Genomic DNA, 17,236 nt, shown 5'->3' with positions numbered 1-17,236 from the left:
CCTGGAAATTTAGCATCGTTGTCTGACAAATCTAGCAGATGAGGCCAGAACACAGAGGAAGCATCAACTTCTCCCTTCCAAGAAGAGACCTCAGTGGTCACCTAAAACACAGCTGCCCATAACAACGGGCATGTACAAATGGAAGACAAGGGCCCTGGCCCTCAACGAGCTCATGGCCCAGTGAACGGAAAACACAAATTGATCACTATGGTGATGAGGGCCCAGGGCACTGCAGAGAGGGCACGCAGTGAACTGTCTCCACAAGATAGGAGGTCTGAGCTGAGACATCAAAGGCCAGTAGGACCATCTCAGCTGATGGTGGGAGAAGGGCAACGAGGCAGGGGACTGGCAGATGTGAAGAAAATGTGGAAGTGCGGAATGCTACATCGAGTAGGGCTGGCGCAGCAGCATGGTGAGGGGGCTGTCCTAAGAGCTGAGGCTGGAGGGGGAAGCGGGGACTAGAACAGAGGCCCTTGTAAGTCATGCAAGGCACCTGTGGAATTTATTCATTAGATGCAATAGGTACATGGATGTTCAATTCCTGTTTATTTTTTCAATCACACATATACACTATGTATACTCTTGTATGCATTAGATACTTTATATTAAATTTTTGAAACTCACTTGGCTCCTAAAATCAAACCACAGTAAGTAAAATGGGTAACCGGCTCTCCAGGACTAAATGTCTAGACAGGGTGGCCGCCAGCTCTGCCAACATTCCACAGCTGCCTTCCAGGCTTTCAGGAAATGAGCTGGGAGCCTCTGAGTGACAAAGTCTGAACCCAGGCAAGGTCTTCGTCAGGGGCTGGGCAAGAGTTTTCCAAAGGACAAGCTCCTCCACACATGCCCATGCCCAGCACAGGCAGCCACAGAATGGCCTGGCTGTCATCAGACAAGCCACTCAAGGGAGACGGCAGCCAGGCCATCCCTGGTGATAGGAATTACTCCCAGGAGTTCCAAAGAACCAGTGAAGAGATAAAATATCTGTAAAGCATTTAGTCTGATCAACGAAGGTTCACAATGATTAGTATTAATTACAGTGCTTCCCCTCCCTAATTGCCAAGATGTTGCTGGATCTGGCTTTGTACTTGATATCTGTCATGATGGGGCCAGTAGCTACTATCCAGCCACACATGATGATAAACGTCATAGCTACTAATTAATAAATACACAGTTCCTCCATCCATTCACCCACTCAACAAATATTTATTTAGTATTTAATCTACGCTGGCCCCATTCTATTTTGTTTTTTACAGACGAGGTCTCACTCTGCTGCCCAGGCTGGTCTCAAACTCTTGGGCTCAAGTGATCTGCCCACCTCCACCAAATGTTGGGATTACAGGCGTGAGCCACCGTGCCCAGCCAAGACCCTATTCTAGAGACACAGCGACAGCACAGACAAAAATAAGCATTATCTGCATTTTAGAGATAAGGAATTGAGACTTAAATAATTAGTGAAGCTCTGCAACACTCCAGGAAGTTTGTAGGTACTAGGGATACGGCAGTGAAAAAAGTAAAGAAATGATCATACACCGAGTTGCGATTTAAATCACGCAGCCAACATGACTCCCAGGTGCTGCCCATCTCCTGCCTGCCCTCAAATGCCCCCCACATTCCAGTCCCACCACCGCCTGCTGGGGCTCTAACCCCTGTGCATTTGTTCACATGCTCTTCCTGGCTTGAAGAACTACTGCTGGCCCTTTGAAGCTCGATTCCATTGGTAGCATTTCCCAGGACCCCGTCTTCGGATGTCTGGGCAACTCCTGCCCTATCCTGTCACCATCTCTTGATTTGGGTCTTTCCCCACTAAACTGAGCTCCTTTGGAAGGACAGGCCTGGGTGGGTCAGATTCACCTCCATGTCCTCTGGCCCCTGAGCCTGGCCTGGGGCAGCCGCAGTGTTCAGTACTGAGAGTGAGTGCATGCATTGGCTCACTCTGAGAGGCAGCTGAGATGGGGGGTAGGGACAGCCTAGCCCAGCCCACCTAGCTGGATTTCCCTATAAAGAGATGGCAGCGGCCGGGCACGGTGGCTCACGCCTGTAATCCCAGCACTTTGCGGGGCTGAGGCGGGTGGATCACGAGGTCAGGAGATCGAGACCATCCTGGTTAACACGGTGAAACCCCGTCTCTACTAAAAATACAAAAAATTAGCCAGGCATGGTGGTGGGTGCCCGAAGTCCCAGCTACTCGGGAGGCTGAGGCAGGAAAATCGCTTGAACCCGGGAGGAGGAGGTTGTAGTGAGCCGAGATCGTGCCACTGCAGCCCAGCCTGGGTGACAAAGTGAGACTCCACCTCAAAAAAAAAAAAAAAAAAAGAGATGGCAGCAAGGATAACCTTGTTTATTTTCTTTCTCCCCCTGAAGTCTGATGGAAAGGAGGATTAGTTTACTGTGTGTTGAGTGAGAAAAGTTTAAACACTGATCTAAAGAGAAAAAACAGCTCCCTGTACTGACACTTAAGGGTAAATTAATCAAAATTTCCTTTGCTCAACGAGAACACGTTTTTCACTTGTGGGAAAAGTTAATTCTGTTAGTCCAGACTTCCCTGAGGAACCCAAGTCATCAGGTATCTCTGAGGAAAGGATGCTTCAACAGCAGAGATGAGACGCAGGCCTGTGGTGCAGACCTCCAGCCCAGCAACGTCACCCCCCGCCTACCTGCCACTTCCACTGGGCCATGGACCCCACTTGCCAGGGCTACTCTACCTCCAATTCCCAGGACTAACAGGGAGTAGGGGAAGGACCCAGGGATTTGGGTTCCAGGTATGGCCCTCACTGAGCTGTGTCACCTAAACTACATCAACTTCCCTCTCTGGTCCTCATCTGTAATGGATTCATGATGGGCTCAAACTGGGTGATAGCCAAGGCCTCTTATGGTTCCAATAGTGTACATGGAGAGGGGAAGAAGGCCATAATCTGAGAAAACTGATTTTGAGACTCTTGTGATCCCAACTAACTCTGTGACCAAGGGAAAATCTCTTAACTTCTCTTAGCCTCAGTTTCCTTGCCTTTAAAATGGAGCCAACAGTAGAGTAAGCTCAGATCCTTCATGATGTTGTTAGAGGACAAAACGAGGCAGCGTATATGAGAGTCCTCAGTAAGTTGTCATGAGAGACCAGCATCTGCCTTTCCTTGATGCTAAGAGGACAGATGGGAGGACGCACTTTGCCTGACAGATCGTTGCCTGGTGAGAAAGAGCCTCCATCAGAGTGATGGCAGTGGCAGGTCGTCTGGAGCGGCTGAGTAGGCAGGAGCCCCACCCCACTGGGTGCAGCTGCAGCTGCCCAAACCATGGCTGCAGACTCAGGCCTCCCTGCACTCTTGGGGACCTGGGAAGTCATCCCTGCCCTCATAGCTTCGGAAGTGCCTCTTCCCACTATCTGACTTCTCCCTGCTGTTGGCATCTGCTCTGATCTCAGAGCAAAACTGGGGCCAAGCCCAGGTGCCATGAACAGCATCAGGAGGCAGACAGATTCCTGAGCAGAAGCAGGCAGGTCCCTAGGAATGCTCCACCTTAAGGCCAGGGAGGGCCTGAAGGCTGGGGGCCAGACTGCCAGTCCTGCAGATCAAACTGGGGACTTGTGGTGCCTTTTCCAGGCCCACCCATGGCTGCCCATGGACCAACTGACACACACTTCCTCTCCTCTGAGGTCCATAAAAGCCCCAGGTTCAGCCAGAGCAGGGCAGAGGTCAGAGAGGACAGAGAGACCACAGGAGGACCAGCTGCAGAGAGGATCTATCCTCTCTGCTGAGGGCTTCAGAGATCTGCACAGATGTTGAGACTCAGCTGCAAAGAGGAGTCACCCTCTTCAGGGCCTCCTCTCTGCTGAGAGCTGCAGAAATGGTGGGATGACCTGCTGGCATAAAGAAGCCACTCACTCCAGGGTCTCTTCTCTGCTGAGAGCTGTACGCTCAATGGGATGACCTGCCTACAGAGAGGAGCTACCCATTGCAGATCTCCTCTGAGCTGTTGTAACACTCAGTAAAGCACCTCTTCATCTTGCTCACCCTCCACTTGTCTGCATACCTCATTCTTCCTGGATGCCGGACAAGAACTTGGGCAAAGGCACCACTGGCCACAGAGATTTCTGGCCAGAAAAGCAACATTCTAAAGATCCCATAAGAAGAGTAGCAATACCCCCACCTTGCCCCTTATGCTTACCGTTGACTTCCAACAAGAAATAACTATTTTCCAACCCTTGAAGGCAAAGCTTTCTGGAAACAAAATTGGCAACACTTAACAAAACCACATATACATTTCCCTTGCAACTGTGCAACTCCATTTCTTGGACTCTACCCTGAAGATAAGCTCCAATGCTATGAAAACACACACGCAAGTTCATCCACTGCAGCCTCATTTGTAAATGCAAAAATACGAAAAGCAACCTAAATGCTCAGATATAGGAGAAGGGCTGAATAAACCATGGCATGTCCACACAGAGTACGATGTGGTGGCAAAAAGGAAGGAGGAAGGACCCTATGAATGGACTTGGAGAGATTTCAAGGACCCAATGTTAACTTAGAAAAGCAAAGTGTGAAAGTGCATGCAACAGACATGTAACATACAACAGTATGCTACACCTCATGGAAGAAAGGGGCTACAAAAATGCATGCATGCATCTGCTCACTTATGCAAAAGAAATACAGGAAGGGTAAACTAGAAATTAAAGAGACTGGTTCCCTAGAGGTGGTGGAAGAGAAAGGGATGCAGAGAAGAGTGGGGTAGGATCACGATGGCGAGGATGGGGAGGAAGTGATGCTTCTCTGAGTGTATCTTTTGCTATAGATCTGACTCAGGAGCATTGCGATGTTTAGCATGTCTTTCATATGTCCACACAAAGCAATTCAAACCTACCAAGACCGGAAGGAAACCCAAAATGGAATGTAAACATTAATAAGTGGACCAAACTATTACAAATAAATAGTATTACCACACTGAAGGGGGTGGGAAAGAAAAGAACTCACCTAAGTAATTTTGGAAAACAGTATTTTGATTGGATAGCATAAGGCTGAGGACAAAAAGACTGTACACAAACGCTATCACCTACTCAGTAATTGGGTAAATGTGCTTCTCATGGGGACATGGGTTAATAAATCTGAAACTACTTTAGTGTATACTAGAATTAAATAAATATATTTTAGCTAACAAAAGCTGAGTTTCTTGCTGTTGGGGAAAAAAATTGCAGGAAAGGGAAAAAGTTAAAATGAGCCTTGTGATGTTGGACTAGAATTAGAGATACCAGTATAAACACGTGGTTTTTAATATACATCCAGGTAGGTGGACACAGAAATACAGATGAGTGTGCACGCATGGATTAGTGCCTGTCCATATCATTCCCAGCTATGTCCCCTAAAAGGCCTAAAAGCAATGACAGCTCAGTGGCAATAAACATACCTGGCACCCAAACCTTGGTTTCTCTATGCCATTCTCCAATAAAATGAACCAGGGCTCCTTGGAGAAGTGGTTGATTCCAGAGTTGAGGAAGGGAACATACAAGATAAGCCTTGAACATCTTGTGATACCAGAAAGTTAAGGAAGTCTTCCAAAAACAGGTGGGGGTGGAGGGGCTGGTTGAAAACACAAGAGCAAACCTGAAGGAACTTCTAATGGCCAAAGCTGGGATAATTTGAGCAAGAAAATAAATAACCACAGGATTAGATTATAAATCACAGGATAAAAGAAATGTCTATGAGTTTTCATTGACATAAGTAAATAATCACATACATAAATGGGGGAGAAAGACCAATTCTTTCTTACAGTAGAGTTCCAATAAATAAATGTAGGACTACAAAGACAGAGAGAAACAGAAAAATCACCAGTAGGCAATCACCACAGTAATAATTATTGTGGACAAGATCTACCGATGGATGCTAAAAGTAATGAGCTCATGTTTGAGGAGAAAGAGATTCACATGGTCTCAAAGTATTTCCTCCAAGGTATTTATCAATTACGAAGAAAAGACAGTGACTTTACAGTGAAGCCTGGCAGACATCCCTTTAACCCAGTGATCGAGGTCAATGTCACCAGTGATGTCCACACCATGAATCCCGATAGGGGGCACCAAGAAGGTCACAACATGAGCTCTGTGGGATTCTTGCCAAAAGTGCACAACCTCAGTCCAAAAAAGAACTTCAGACAAACTTAAACTGAGGGACATTTAAGAAAATAGCTGACAAGTGCTCTTCTGAAGTGTTAGGGTCATGGAAGACAAAGAAAGACTGAAGAACTGCCCCAGATTGGAGGGGAATAAGGAGACATGGCAACTGAGCAGTGTGGGATCTGGAACGGGATCCTGGATGGAAGGACATTTGTGGGAAAACTGGTGCAATCTGAATCGGTGTGCAATTGAGTTAATAGTATTACACGTTGGTAACTTCCTGGGTTTGCTGATTACACTCAGGTTATATAAGATGTTCACGGGAGGGGCCACTGGGTGCGGAAATGACTTCTACATTAGTTCAAAATTTTAAAAAGAGGTAATGTTTAAGTCCCTTATTGAATGATTTCACAAACACTTAGACCAAACCACCAGGGCCTTTGCTAAGTCCCACTTAAGGATTGCTCTAGTATCAATGCCTCTAGAGGATGCAGGGAACAGAGGCTAAGGAGTGCTGGATGTGAACCAGAGCTTCCAGGGCCCTTGTGGAATGAGCTGGTTTTTGGTGACAGGCTCTGGGACAGTCTTTGGTTACAGAAAGCCCCAGAACTGAAGGGATCTCTGGAACATCCTGCGCAGGTCCTCAGCCAGGGCTAGCGTCCTGAGGGGAAGAGGATATAAACTCAGGCACTGCGGGGTACCCAGCCCGGGCAGCCCCTCCACCTCCTGGACTTTTCTCTGCAGACCTTACCTGCCTTGGTTCTCAGAAGCAATCAGGGCCCGAGGCCTGGAAGGGGCTCCCCACCTCTATGGGGCTGAGCCTCAAGGGCCCTGGGTTCTGGGAACCACAGCTTCTGTGTTTCAGGGATGACACCTGGGCTTTACCAGTACACAGTGTGGCCCACCTCTTAGGACTCGGCCTCTGGCTGAGCTCTTGTCCCAGGAAGCTGCTTGGTGACCCTGGCCTGGGCTGTTGACTTTCATACCTATCCCTCACCCAGAGAGAGTGGTCTGCCCTGCACCTGCCTGGTTGCCTTGGCTGTGCTCCTGAGGCCTGAAGGTCAGCCTGCCTGCCTTCCTGAATCATTCCAGGGCCCACCTTTCCTCTCCCACTCCCTCCCACTGTGCTCTGCCTATCACCAGCACATCCTCCACAGGCCTTGCATGTTGACTGCTTGCCTGGGTTCAGTCTGTCTGCCAGAGTGACCTTCTCCCAGATCCCCAGTGAGGCAGGTTCTAGTCTAAGCCAACCACCCAGGCCCCCCCACAGGAGCCAGTGATGGCCTATGTCTCCAGCAGGATCAAGCAAGGCTCCAGGTTTATGCTGAGGGACCTAGCAGAACCCATGTTACAGGGGAGTGAACTATTACATACTTGGCCCTCCAGGATCTGCAAAATCCACCTTGCCCAGCAATGGGGGATTATAGATGGCCACTCACTCCCTTCCAATCATGAGGCAGGGGTCCATGTTCCCTCCCCTTGGGTGAGAGCTCATGCAAGTTCCTGGGCCAGCCTTACAGCCCAGCAGCTTCCATTTCCTGTGTCTTGGAACACTCCCTCTTGGGAAGCTGGCTGCCATGCCAGTATCCAACTCCCCTGAGGCCACCTGCTGTGAGGAAGCCCCAGCGAGCCAGGTGGAGAGAAATGGGCAGAGAAGCCCTACAGCCCTGGCTGTGCCGGCCAGCCCAGCCCAGCTGCCAGCCCAGTGGCTCCAGCCCCAGCCACCATCTGCCCCCAGTACCCAGGAGACCTAAAGTGAGAACCACCAGCTGAGTCCAGTCAACCCACAGAACCCCATGAGATAATAACGACCTTCTGTTTCAAGCCACTAAGTTTTAGACTGGCTTGTAACACAGCAATAGGTAACGGGAACACTGGCTGAAAGAGGCTTTTGTTTGCAATCCTTAAGGAAAAGAGGGCTTTTTATGAATGTCAATTTTTTTCATCTGTAAAGTGGGGAGAATAATTCCACAGGTAACTGAGCAAGAACTCTGCGAGCAGAACAATGCTCATTTGTGATCTGTGTGGAATGTTTGTCGCTGGTGATCTCAAGGGGTCTCTGGGCTTTGAGCTTGGTCTTTCTGCACAGGGACAATCGTGCTGATGTCATCATCTCTTTCTGCTTGCTGAGTGACTGTGGTCACATTTAAAGCAGTCAGCAGAGCCCCTAGCATTGCTGACTGCTTCCCAGGGGCCAAGTAATGTTCTAAGCACTTTATGTCCATCAATAATTGTAATGCTTGCAACAACAGAAGAGAGGAAGACACTATCATCACATTTTATAAATGGGCAAAGTGGAATCAGCGAGCGGGAGAAACATCTCCCCTTTCCTCAGGGTGTGAGAGAGCTGGGATTCTCTCATGTTCGCCAAGGCCATGCTCTAAATGGCCCCACTCTATTGTTTCTGAGCCTCAGCTTTCCTGTCTACAAAATGGAGTAACAATGCCCACCTGATTACTGTTGTATGGATTCAATGGGAAACAATCATGATGTCTGGTACACATTTTTTTCTCTCTCTCCACTCCTACATTTTATGGCTCAAAGTTGCAAATACCAGATATTTACTGAGAAAATCTATGTTCTCAATGCTTTTTCAAAGACCCACCCATGAAAGGAGAATGCTTTTTAAGGAAATCCAGCTTAGAGTCCCTGATAGGCTCAGAAATACAAGTTGAAACGATGCAGGGAAATGCAGACCCCTTCCTCTTGGGAAGGTGGAGGTGACACCGTCTCTAGTCTTTGTCCCCAAGGTCCATGCTGAGAGGTTCAAATAGACGATGAAAGCAATGTGGCCAGAGTGTCCTTTTACCAAGCAGGCTCCCCCACCCCATCCCCATGATTACCCAGCACTTGAGCGTCCCCATTTCCAAATGCCCCTGGGGAGATCAGCGTTTGCTAAGGGCACAGAACAGCTCCCGTAAGTGCGATTTCCTAGCACTCAGGTCTTGCTGAGCAAATGGCTTGGCCATGCTAGCTGTGGATCAACAGCCTGTATTTCATGAATATTTTTCTTTGGCGGGCTGCACCCATCAACATTTCACTTACTCAGGAGCATTTGCATTTTAATGTGATTTTTTTCCAACATGACTAGACAGCTGGGTGGGTTTTACCATCTTCTGAGATACAAAAATTCTCATCTCTGCATATGGATCCCTCCAACTGTGTTTGCGTCCAGCCTGGAAATAGCATCCTTCTGAATGATAACTTTTTGAAGAAACTGCGGCTGACATGCAGGGAGAAGTCAAGCTTACAATTTTGATCCAATACTTGTCCAGACTAACAGGGGTTAAAAAAAAACTTGAAAAAAAATGACTTTGCTATAAGGTGCTACACTGGAAAAATACACTTGATACTACTGCTGCCTAGCTATCTAAATTCCCGCTACTCTCCCCTCTCTGTCAATCCCATCACAACTAAAGGATTGTGATCTTTACACAATCTCTGTCAATCCCATCACAACTAAAGGATGTGAACATCCTTGATCTTTTTTGAAATTACTACCCCAGGGCCTTTACACTGGCTGTCTCCTCTACTGGAACACACTTTGCCCAAACGTTTGCACTGGCTGGCTCCATCACAGCATTCAGATTGCTCAGATACCGTGTCCCTGCAGCAAAAGTCTTCCAGGATACCCTGTCTATAAAGGTCCCCTATTCCCATCACTCTCCAGCTATGTACCCTACACTTCATTTTCATCAAAGTACTGAAGAAAGTAGGATTCCCTACTCCAAAGTATGTTATTTTTTCATTTCTCCTCCCTACTTTGAAGAGAAGCCACTTGACAGCAATCGTGTCCTTCATTGCAGCCCCTGTGCCAAGAACAATGCCATATGGCAGAGGCTCAATGAATGAGTATCTGCCCATTTTCCAGAAAAGGAAGTTGTGGTTCCTGGGGTTAAGTAATTTGTCCACGATGGCCCTGCTAGGCGCCAGGGCTGTCAACCCTTGGGGCTGTCCTGAGCCCAAATCCACAAGATTAACTCCTGTGCCCCACATTAGCAAAATTTACATCTCCTGCCTCTGTCCCTTAACTTCCTTATTCCTGGCATCTATATGGGGCCTGGCACCCAGGAGAGGCTCACAAAATGCTTACAGAAGGAGGGTCTGAATACATGAACAGAATCCCTGGCCCCCAACTCTCTGGGGAGGAAGAGAATGTTCGGGCTTTTCCAGTCTGACCACTCATTGAATCCTCATTCCCTTCTCTACTAGTTTCACCAGATGGTTGCCCAGATTTCTGCTCGAGCATTTCCGGGGCTGCATGAATCACCTCCCAAAGCAGTCCATAAGCAATGGCTCCTGTCAGCTCTGCCGGTCAGAAAGCTCTTACACCGAGCCAGACAACAGCACTTGCTTGCTTGTCCGTTAAACACACACCTTCTGAAGCTGTTGCCTGGACTGTCTCTTACCCATCTCAAACATGATGCTAGAAAAGAAAAGAGAGAAACCTATATATGAGTACTGAAACTAAAAAGCAGGGAAAAATACGCTCCTAAAAATAGGTAAAGGGCACAAAAATAACTAGCCAACTAAACAAAAAAAGAAGCAAAAGGCACCTATAAACCACATGGCTTCAGTCCTGTCTCACCGCACATAAATGAGCTACATCTGTCCTTTACGAGCCTGTTTGCCTGTCCACAAAATGGCGATGTGGAGAAGGTGGCTGCATCCCTTCTAAGGGCATCTGCTTCTCCCCTTTTGTCATGAACTGTTTTTAATGCCCACAGTTCTTTGAAACCCGGCACCACTTGCTCTCCAAACTAGTATGCGCTCCAAGGCTATGTAGAACTGTTGGCCACCTTGTCATAAGCAATGACAGCTAACCTGGATTAAGGCTTACTATGCAACCAGCATGGAGCCCACCTCCTGCCCTGGCTGGCTCATTTACTCCCCAGCACAGACCTAAGAAGGAGGCACTGTGCCCTCACCAGACAAGAAACCCAAACCTTCGCATGGCCAAGTCCTTTGCTACCCTGGACTCCCACCAACTGGGGCCAGCAGCCCTGGGATGGGCCTGGCACTTGTGAGCCTCTGACTCCTGGCTCTTGCTCAAGCCATGCCTTGCTTTACTGGTTCCATCTAATAACACTCAACTTCCTGTCCAGCCCAGCCCTGGTGCCGTCTCTGCTCCAGTCTGCCTCAGTTCCCCCGAGCACAATTCATCGCTCCTTTCCCCGCAATCATGCAGCCCACTAACTGTACCTCCCAGCAGCGCAGCCTTCCCTTCGCCTCACAGTGCACCTGTTTACATGTTTGTCTCTCCCTCTGAGTTGCAGGGCCCTTGAGGGCAGACGCCACATCTTAATTGCCTCTGCACCCTTCTCACCTCTTGTATTTAAGCATCGTTTTATGTTTACAGGAAGATTTCATATACATCTGCTGAATAAATGGGGGAAAAAAAGGAATAAAGAAAAGCTCCCAATAAATGGCTCAGTCTCAGATTCCATGTGATTTAAGGAGCATCCCAAAGCTGGAGGACCGAGAAATTCCTTTGAATGATTTCACTGTTTCTCTCTGCAAGTCAGAATATTCTATAGGAGAAAGTTCCAGGAGCAGAAGATGAGGGTGACATGAGTTAAAATATCTATGGTTTAATGGTTTCTTCCACATTTTCCTAATTTTGCACTGCTATGATCTAAATATGTCCCCCCAAAATTCATATGTTGAAATCTTCACCCTCAAGTTGCTAGTATTAGGAAGCAGGGCCTTTGGAAGGAGATTAGGTAATGAGGGTGGAGCCCTCATGAATAGAATTAGTGTCCTTATAAAAGGGACCCCAGAAGACAGCTCTCCACCCCTCCCTCCACTAGGTGAGGAGGCAGCATGAAGACGGTCATCTGCAAACCACCGAGTGGGCCCTCTCCAGGCACTCAATCTACTGGCAACTTGATCTTGGAATCCCCAGCTTCCAGAACTGTGAGAAATAAATGTGTGTAGTTTAGAAGCCACTCAATTTATGCTATTTTGTTATAGCAGCCCAAATGGATGAAGACAGGCAGCCTGCCTGCAGTCAAACACCCCCTTGAATTATTCTGCATGCAGGTGAAGATTTACTTCTAACCAAGCCTCGGGGACCCAGGAATCCTTCTAGTGGGTGCTGCTCCACTGTGGTCCCCATCTCAGAGCTGAGGGTCTCCTGTTCTGAGAGGGAGAAGTCTGAGCTTTTTGTGGGGGGCTGTGGGATACCTGGGAGTGGATTCTGGGGCCTCACCTTCGACAAAGGACATCAGGCCAATGAGAAGCCACCAACCATCCCAGATGTGGCTGCATGGTCTCCTGACAACCACAGAACTCCTGGGTCCTCCAGCATACCACAGAGGAGGCACAGACCAGTGGTGGGAAATGGGAAAGTCAGCTTCTCCCACAGCCCCAGTTACCAAGAGATGCCAGCCTCCATGCAATCAGCAAAGTGGGACAAGTCTTGGCCTAAAATCTACTTGAAATCAATCAAGTTTTGGGGGGAAGGGAAGCTGAGTAGAAATCAGAAGGCTGGGGTTTGGTTACCAGCTAGTCATTTCTACCTGGGTGATCCTGGTCAGTTACCCAGTCTTTCTCAGCCTGTTTACTCATTGGCCAAAGAACAATCTCACAACAGCTGCTAGACTTTTTTCAACTCGAAACGAAAAGGCACAGGAGAAAGTGAGCAGCAGGAAGAGCAGAGTCAAAACAATCAAAAACTGACCTTAGAGGAGACAGAAATAATTCATGGACTAAAGCAAACAAACAAACAAAATGCTCTAATTACTATTCCAGCACTCAGTATACTAGTAGCTATAAAACGAAAATAGATTCCAGGAAAAGAAATGATCAGAGACAAGAAAAAGCTCTCAGAGGTTAAAAATGTTAGTGCCAACATGTTTTTTAAAAGTTAAAAAAAAGCAAAATGACAAACCAGAAAATGAAGTCAACAAAATCTCGAATAAAGAGCAAAAAGGCAAAGAAATGAGAAAAATGTAGAAGAATATAATCCCTTTCTGGAAGATTTTAGAGCTGACAAGTAAGAGGCTCAGATATGGAGAATGGAAAACAAATGAAGGTTTTAAAACAATCAGTTCCATTAGAATCTCCCAGAGCTGAAGGACGTGGGCTTTCAGATGAAAGGGGGCCACTGGGCATCCAGAACAATGAATAAATGAAGACCCACCCTGGAGACTATCCTCATGTAATACATGAACCCCATGAATGAAGAAGAATTCTTATAATCTTCTGGACAAGACAAATAGAGAATAAATAATCTACAAAGAACCAGGCATCGGACTTCTCATCAGCAACAAGGAAAACTCTAAAGTCTTCAAAATTCTGAAGGCAAATGATCTAGAACCTGGAAATCGACCTTCAGTGTGAGCATAAAATACAGACATTTTCAGACACTTTACTTTCCATGTACCTTTTCTTAGGAGGTAACTTAAGCAAACAGAGCCTCCAACCCAGGAAAGCAATGACGGTGAGCCCAAGATGACCTGGGGGCAGCAGCCCTGGAGAGGATGCAGTACCCTGGGTAGAGGAGGGGAGAGCATCCTGAGAGGGGTTAGCTCTCCAGAAGAAACAAAACAAAACAGAAAAACAATGGGGAAAGGCTCAATGGAACAGGCGGTATGAAAAAAGGGAGAGTATGAAAAAGGCATAGAAAGCAAGAAGAAAAAAAGAAAGGCAACCAGAAATCCCAGAAAAAATATCCTGTGCAATAAAGTGATGATCCAAAGATGAAGCAAACTACAATATGGCATGCTTCCAAGCAAATGACATTGTGTAGGCGGGAGAACCCACTCAAGTCTGTTCCAGGCCATTCTGCTTTGAGTGGTCTAGGGGTTCTGGCATTGATCTCCAGAGAAGAAAAGGTCATCCCAGTGCATGAGTTAACCCAGCATTAGCCACTTCTGATGCAGCAATAATTATAGCAATGTCACCTACTGTTCTCAACATTCAGAGTCAAACTATGGACAATGCATACGCTAGAGCATTCAGGATGGGATGCAAGCTTCAGCAACCTTGAAGGAATGTCAGCCTGAAAGTAGCAGGTGGGTGGCACCGAAGCTTGAGAGGAAAGACAAAAGGAACAATATGGATTAACAACCTCACCTTATGAAATAAGGAGACAGACACACTGTGCAAGGGTGCTGGAGAAAAATGTATCTAAAGATTGAAAAGTAACAGAGAGAAGCACTTTAACAAGCACAGATGAAACTGAGAGGAGGAGAAAGAGCCACTAGTACGGCAGTGGATTCCTCTTCCACATCAGGAAGTCCATGACTGGGGCTCAAAGACGATCAATGCACTGTCTGGATGCAAATCCTGGATCACACAAAGTGGGGACAAAGTTCTGACGAGGATTAAATGAGTTTATAGGAAAAACATCCCCAGAACAGTGCCTGGCACAAAGCAAGCATTCAGGATGTATCAGGGCTTTTATGATATACTTGCCTATACAATTTGATTTGTGACAATGTGCATGTGTTAACTTTTAAAAACGGTTTTACTGTGAAATAAAAACATATGCCAGAGCTATTTGAAGGAACAAATTCCAACGCAAGCCCGAATCATGGCATAAACTGTAAAGTACGATTTTAGAGCCTGCTAAGCAGGCAAGGCAGCACGCTCTGGGAGCTGGAGAGTGTCATGGAAAATATGGAGGGCTGTGGTGAGGAGGCTTCCCAGAGCCAGGCCTGCAAGGAGACCCTGCCCTTTGCATTCCCAAGCTGCAAACTGCAGAGTACTCTGCTGCCGCATGATATCAACATAACAAAGTGTTATTTTTTACAAATGGAAAATAAATGTTTCCACCTTTTGGGGCACCTGGGCACTTCTTACAAACTGCTTGCAAGTGGGATTCAAACTACTACTCTCCTGATTCCATTTTTATTTGCAGAGTAAGGCAAACAGAGCAGAGGCTTTCTGCTTCCACTTTTGCGAAAAGAAAAACAAGTGAGGCTTGGAATGGCCTCTAGAGTTCCAGAGGGTGTGGTGCAGCTTCTGGCTTGCCCCTCACCCAGCCCAGTCCCTTCATGGAAGTCCCAGCTTTATTCCACACAAAACAGGGCAGGAGGTGCTTTGTCCCAGGAGGTGGGGCTGCAGTGAGCCTTGATGCCACAAATGAAGTCTCCAGTGGGTACAGGGTCATGCCTGTGCACTGCCGCTACTTAGCTGGAACAGCCCAATCTCTATTTCTGGGGTTCTACCTCAGTTTCCCCATTGAGCTTGAACACTGACACCCTGACACCCTGCCTGGCTCACTCCAGTGCCCACCTTCTAGAAGACCGGACTCTGAGCCCCATTTCTTCCACAGCTCACTGCATAATCGTTGAGATCGGTAGGAAAGGCAGCAGGTGGGTAGGTGCAGTGAGAGGTGCACAGGAGTGGGGCCAGCGAGAAGGCCGGTTTGAATATCCACTCTATTACTCACTGGCAGAAACGTTTTTTTAACCTTGCTGAGCTTGGGCTTTCTCAAGGATTCAATAATTTAACAAATATGCGACCAAGTGCCCACCTGGGGCCAGGTACCACGCTAGGTGTTGAAGATTTGAGAGGTGCACAAAGCATGTTGCTTTGTAAGGAACTTACCAAGAAAAAGGCCACCTGGTGGTGGATGCCATGATGGGCAGGCACCACGTGGTGGAGCAGCCCAGAGACACCGGAGCAACAGCCTGCAGTGGAAGGGACCAGGGTCAGAGAGAAGGCGACAGCGGGCTGAGATCTGAAGGAGGAAGAGAAGCGGGAGAGTGTTCCAGTGGGGGCAACAGCACGTGCTGTGGTTCAAAGCAAGAAAAAAATGGGCCGGAAACACCTTCCCAAGGTCTGGTGCATAGGGTGCTGGGGGTGAGGAAGATGCCAGAGAGCTATGCCAGGAAGATCAGAGACCCTGGAAGCCCTTGGAAGGGCTTTAAATCATTGGTAAAATTCCCACTTTGTAGCAATGTGAGGCTGAGCGAACCATGATCCTGGAGGATGCGTCGGGAACTCCCTTGTAAAACAGATGCTAACATGACCATCCCACTGCCTGGGTTTTGGCTTGCCTCATTTGACAACTCTCCGCTCCCTTTCCTCCTATGCATGCACACCCACACATACACACACGCACCACACACACTCTAACAACATGCACACATGTGTGATTTGCTGGAACTCAGGTCTTTGGCTACGGAGCTAAAACAGGGCCCCACACTTCCCTCACTCTATCAAACCAGCAGGCAGATCTTTCTATCTTGCCCAGTCCTAGCTTCCTGCCCTTCCCGCTGGCCCATGCTCTCCTCCTGGGTTAGACACATCTGTTCTTCCTGCCTGGACTGCCCTTCTGCACATAGCTAACTGCTACTCTTCCTTTAAGATGCAGCTCAGATGTCCCCTCTCTGGGACACCTTGTATGACCCTCGTCCAGCTTCAAGGCAGGTTCTGCACTTCCTGCACTTACCTGGCAGACAACATCTGTCACTATTCTCTGGAGATGCTGGCTGTCTGGCTTGACTCCCTGCCTTGGCCATTTCTGTGCCCTCAGCTCCAACCTATCGTCAGGAGAGAGGTGGTGCCCAGCAGGAACGTGTGGCTGGGATGAACACTCCATCCCGCAGTGCCCTGCACCAATATGCACATGCTGTGGACTCCAAGAGGAAGCCACCTGTGGCTGAGGACAGGAGGTCTCTGGGTCCTCACTCTCTCCTTCACTGCAACCGCATCTACACCTTCCCTGTGCGTCATCCCAATCCCATCTGACCCTTGCTTAAAAGAGTCCTTTCTTTTAAGATCTCTTGAAGCTGTGCAATATGCAGAGAAGGAGGCTGACCTGTGGGAGAGCTTGCTCTTCCAGGCATGGCCTTAGGGGCTTTTTGTTTTATGTAACATTCCAACAATCTATAGACCTACAGCTCAGCACCTGCAGAAGGTCATGGGCCTGGTTCCAAATCTTCTTTCTCAATCGATTGGGAACAGTTTACACCAAGAAAAAAGTGTTTCGACAAGCAGGACTGTTGCCAGGGGCCCCGCAAACCACACTCTTCCGCAAGTTCGCAAATCCTGATCCTCACGTGTGAATCTCTCCCTCCCCGCCCTCCTCCTGCTAGTGTGGCTGTCCTGGGTTAAGGTGCCTGGGGAACGGGGACCCAAAAGCCACTGGGCTCCAACAGGGCATGACTGTCTAATTTGTCTAAT

General features: G+C 47.9%; 1 protein-coding gene across 3 annotated transcripts in view, besides 4 other annotated features; it reads right to left on the bottom strand.

The window, feature by feature from the left end:
* Positions 1-17,236, bottom strand: part of TUNAR (transmembrane neural differentiation associated intracellular calcium regulator) — a 49,124-nt gene that overhangs the window by 13,973 nt on the left and 17,915 nt on the right. The window contains exon 2 of one of the 3 annotated variants that reach the window (NM_001416132.1): positions 15,656-15,788. The exons of the other annotated variants lie outside the window; for them this stretch is intronic. The gene's annotated coding sequence lies outside the window, so the exon portion shown is untranslated. The remainder of the gene's footprint in view (positions 1-15,655; positions 15,789-17,236) is intronic. 3 annotated transcript variants of the gene reach the window in all.
* Positions 1,952-2,474: an enhancer, noted in NCBI's record as "H3K4me1 hESC enhancer chr14:96375462-96375984 (GRCh37/hg19 assembly coordinates)". NCBI's record gives its function as "activates a minimal SCP1, AML or CMV promoter by ChIP-STARR-seq in naive H9 embryonic stem cells {active_cell/tissue: H9 hESC(naive)}" and the evidence as "EXISTENCE:reporter gene assay evidence [ECO:0000049][PMID:30033119]".
* Positions 3,520-4,206: an enhancer, noted in NCBI's record as "H3K27ac-H3K4me1 hESC enhancer chr14:96373730-96374416 (GRCh37/hg19 assembly coordinates)". NCBI's record gives its function as "activates a minimal SCP1, AML or CMV promoter by ChIP-STARR-seq in primed H9 embryonic stem cells {active_cell/tissue: H9 hESC(primed)}" and the evidence as "EXISTENCE:reporter gene assay evidence [ECO:0000049][PMID:30033119]".
* Positions 6,413-7,356: an enhancer, noted in NCBI's record as "H3K27ac-H3K4me1 hESC enhancer chr14:96370580-96371523 (GRCh37/hg19 assembly coordinates)". NCBI's record gives its function as "activates a minimal SCP1, AML or CMV promoter by ChIP-STARR-seq in primed H9 embryonic stem cells {active_cell/tissue: H9 hESC(primed)}" and the evidence as "EXISTENCE:reporter gene assay evidence [ECO:0000049][PMID:30033119]".
* Positions 10,683-11,183: an enhancer, noted in NCBI's record as "H3K4me1 hESC enhancer chr14:96366753-96367253 (GRCh37/hg19 assembly coordinates)". NCBI's record gives its function as "activates a minimal SCP1, AML or CMV promoter by ChIP-STARR-seq in naive H9 embryonic stem cells {active_cell/tissue: H9 hESC(naive)}" and the evidence as "EXISTENCE:reporter gene assay evidence [ECO:0000049][PMID:30033119]".

Source organism: Homo sapiens, chromosome 14, assembly GCF_000001405.40.
Source record: "Homo sapiens chromosome 14, GRCh38.p14 Primary Assembly".
Taxonomy (NCBI): domain Eukaryota; kingdom Metazoa; phylum Chordata; class Mammalia; order Primates; family Hominidae; genus Homo; species Homo sapiens.
The sequence above is the reverse complement of the archived record's forward strand: the minus strand, read 5'-3'. Positions and strand labels throughout refer to the sequence as shown.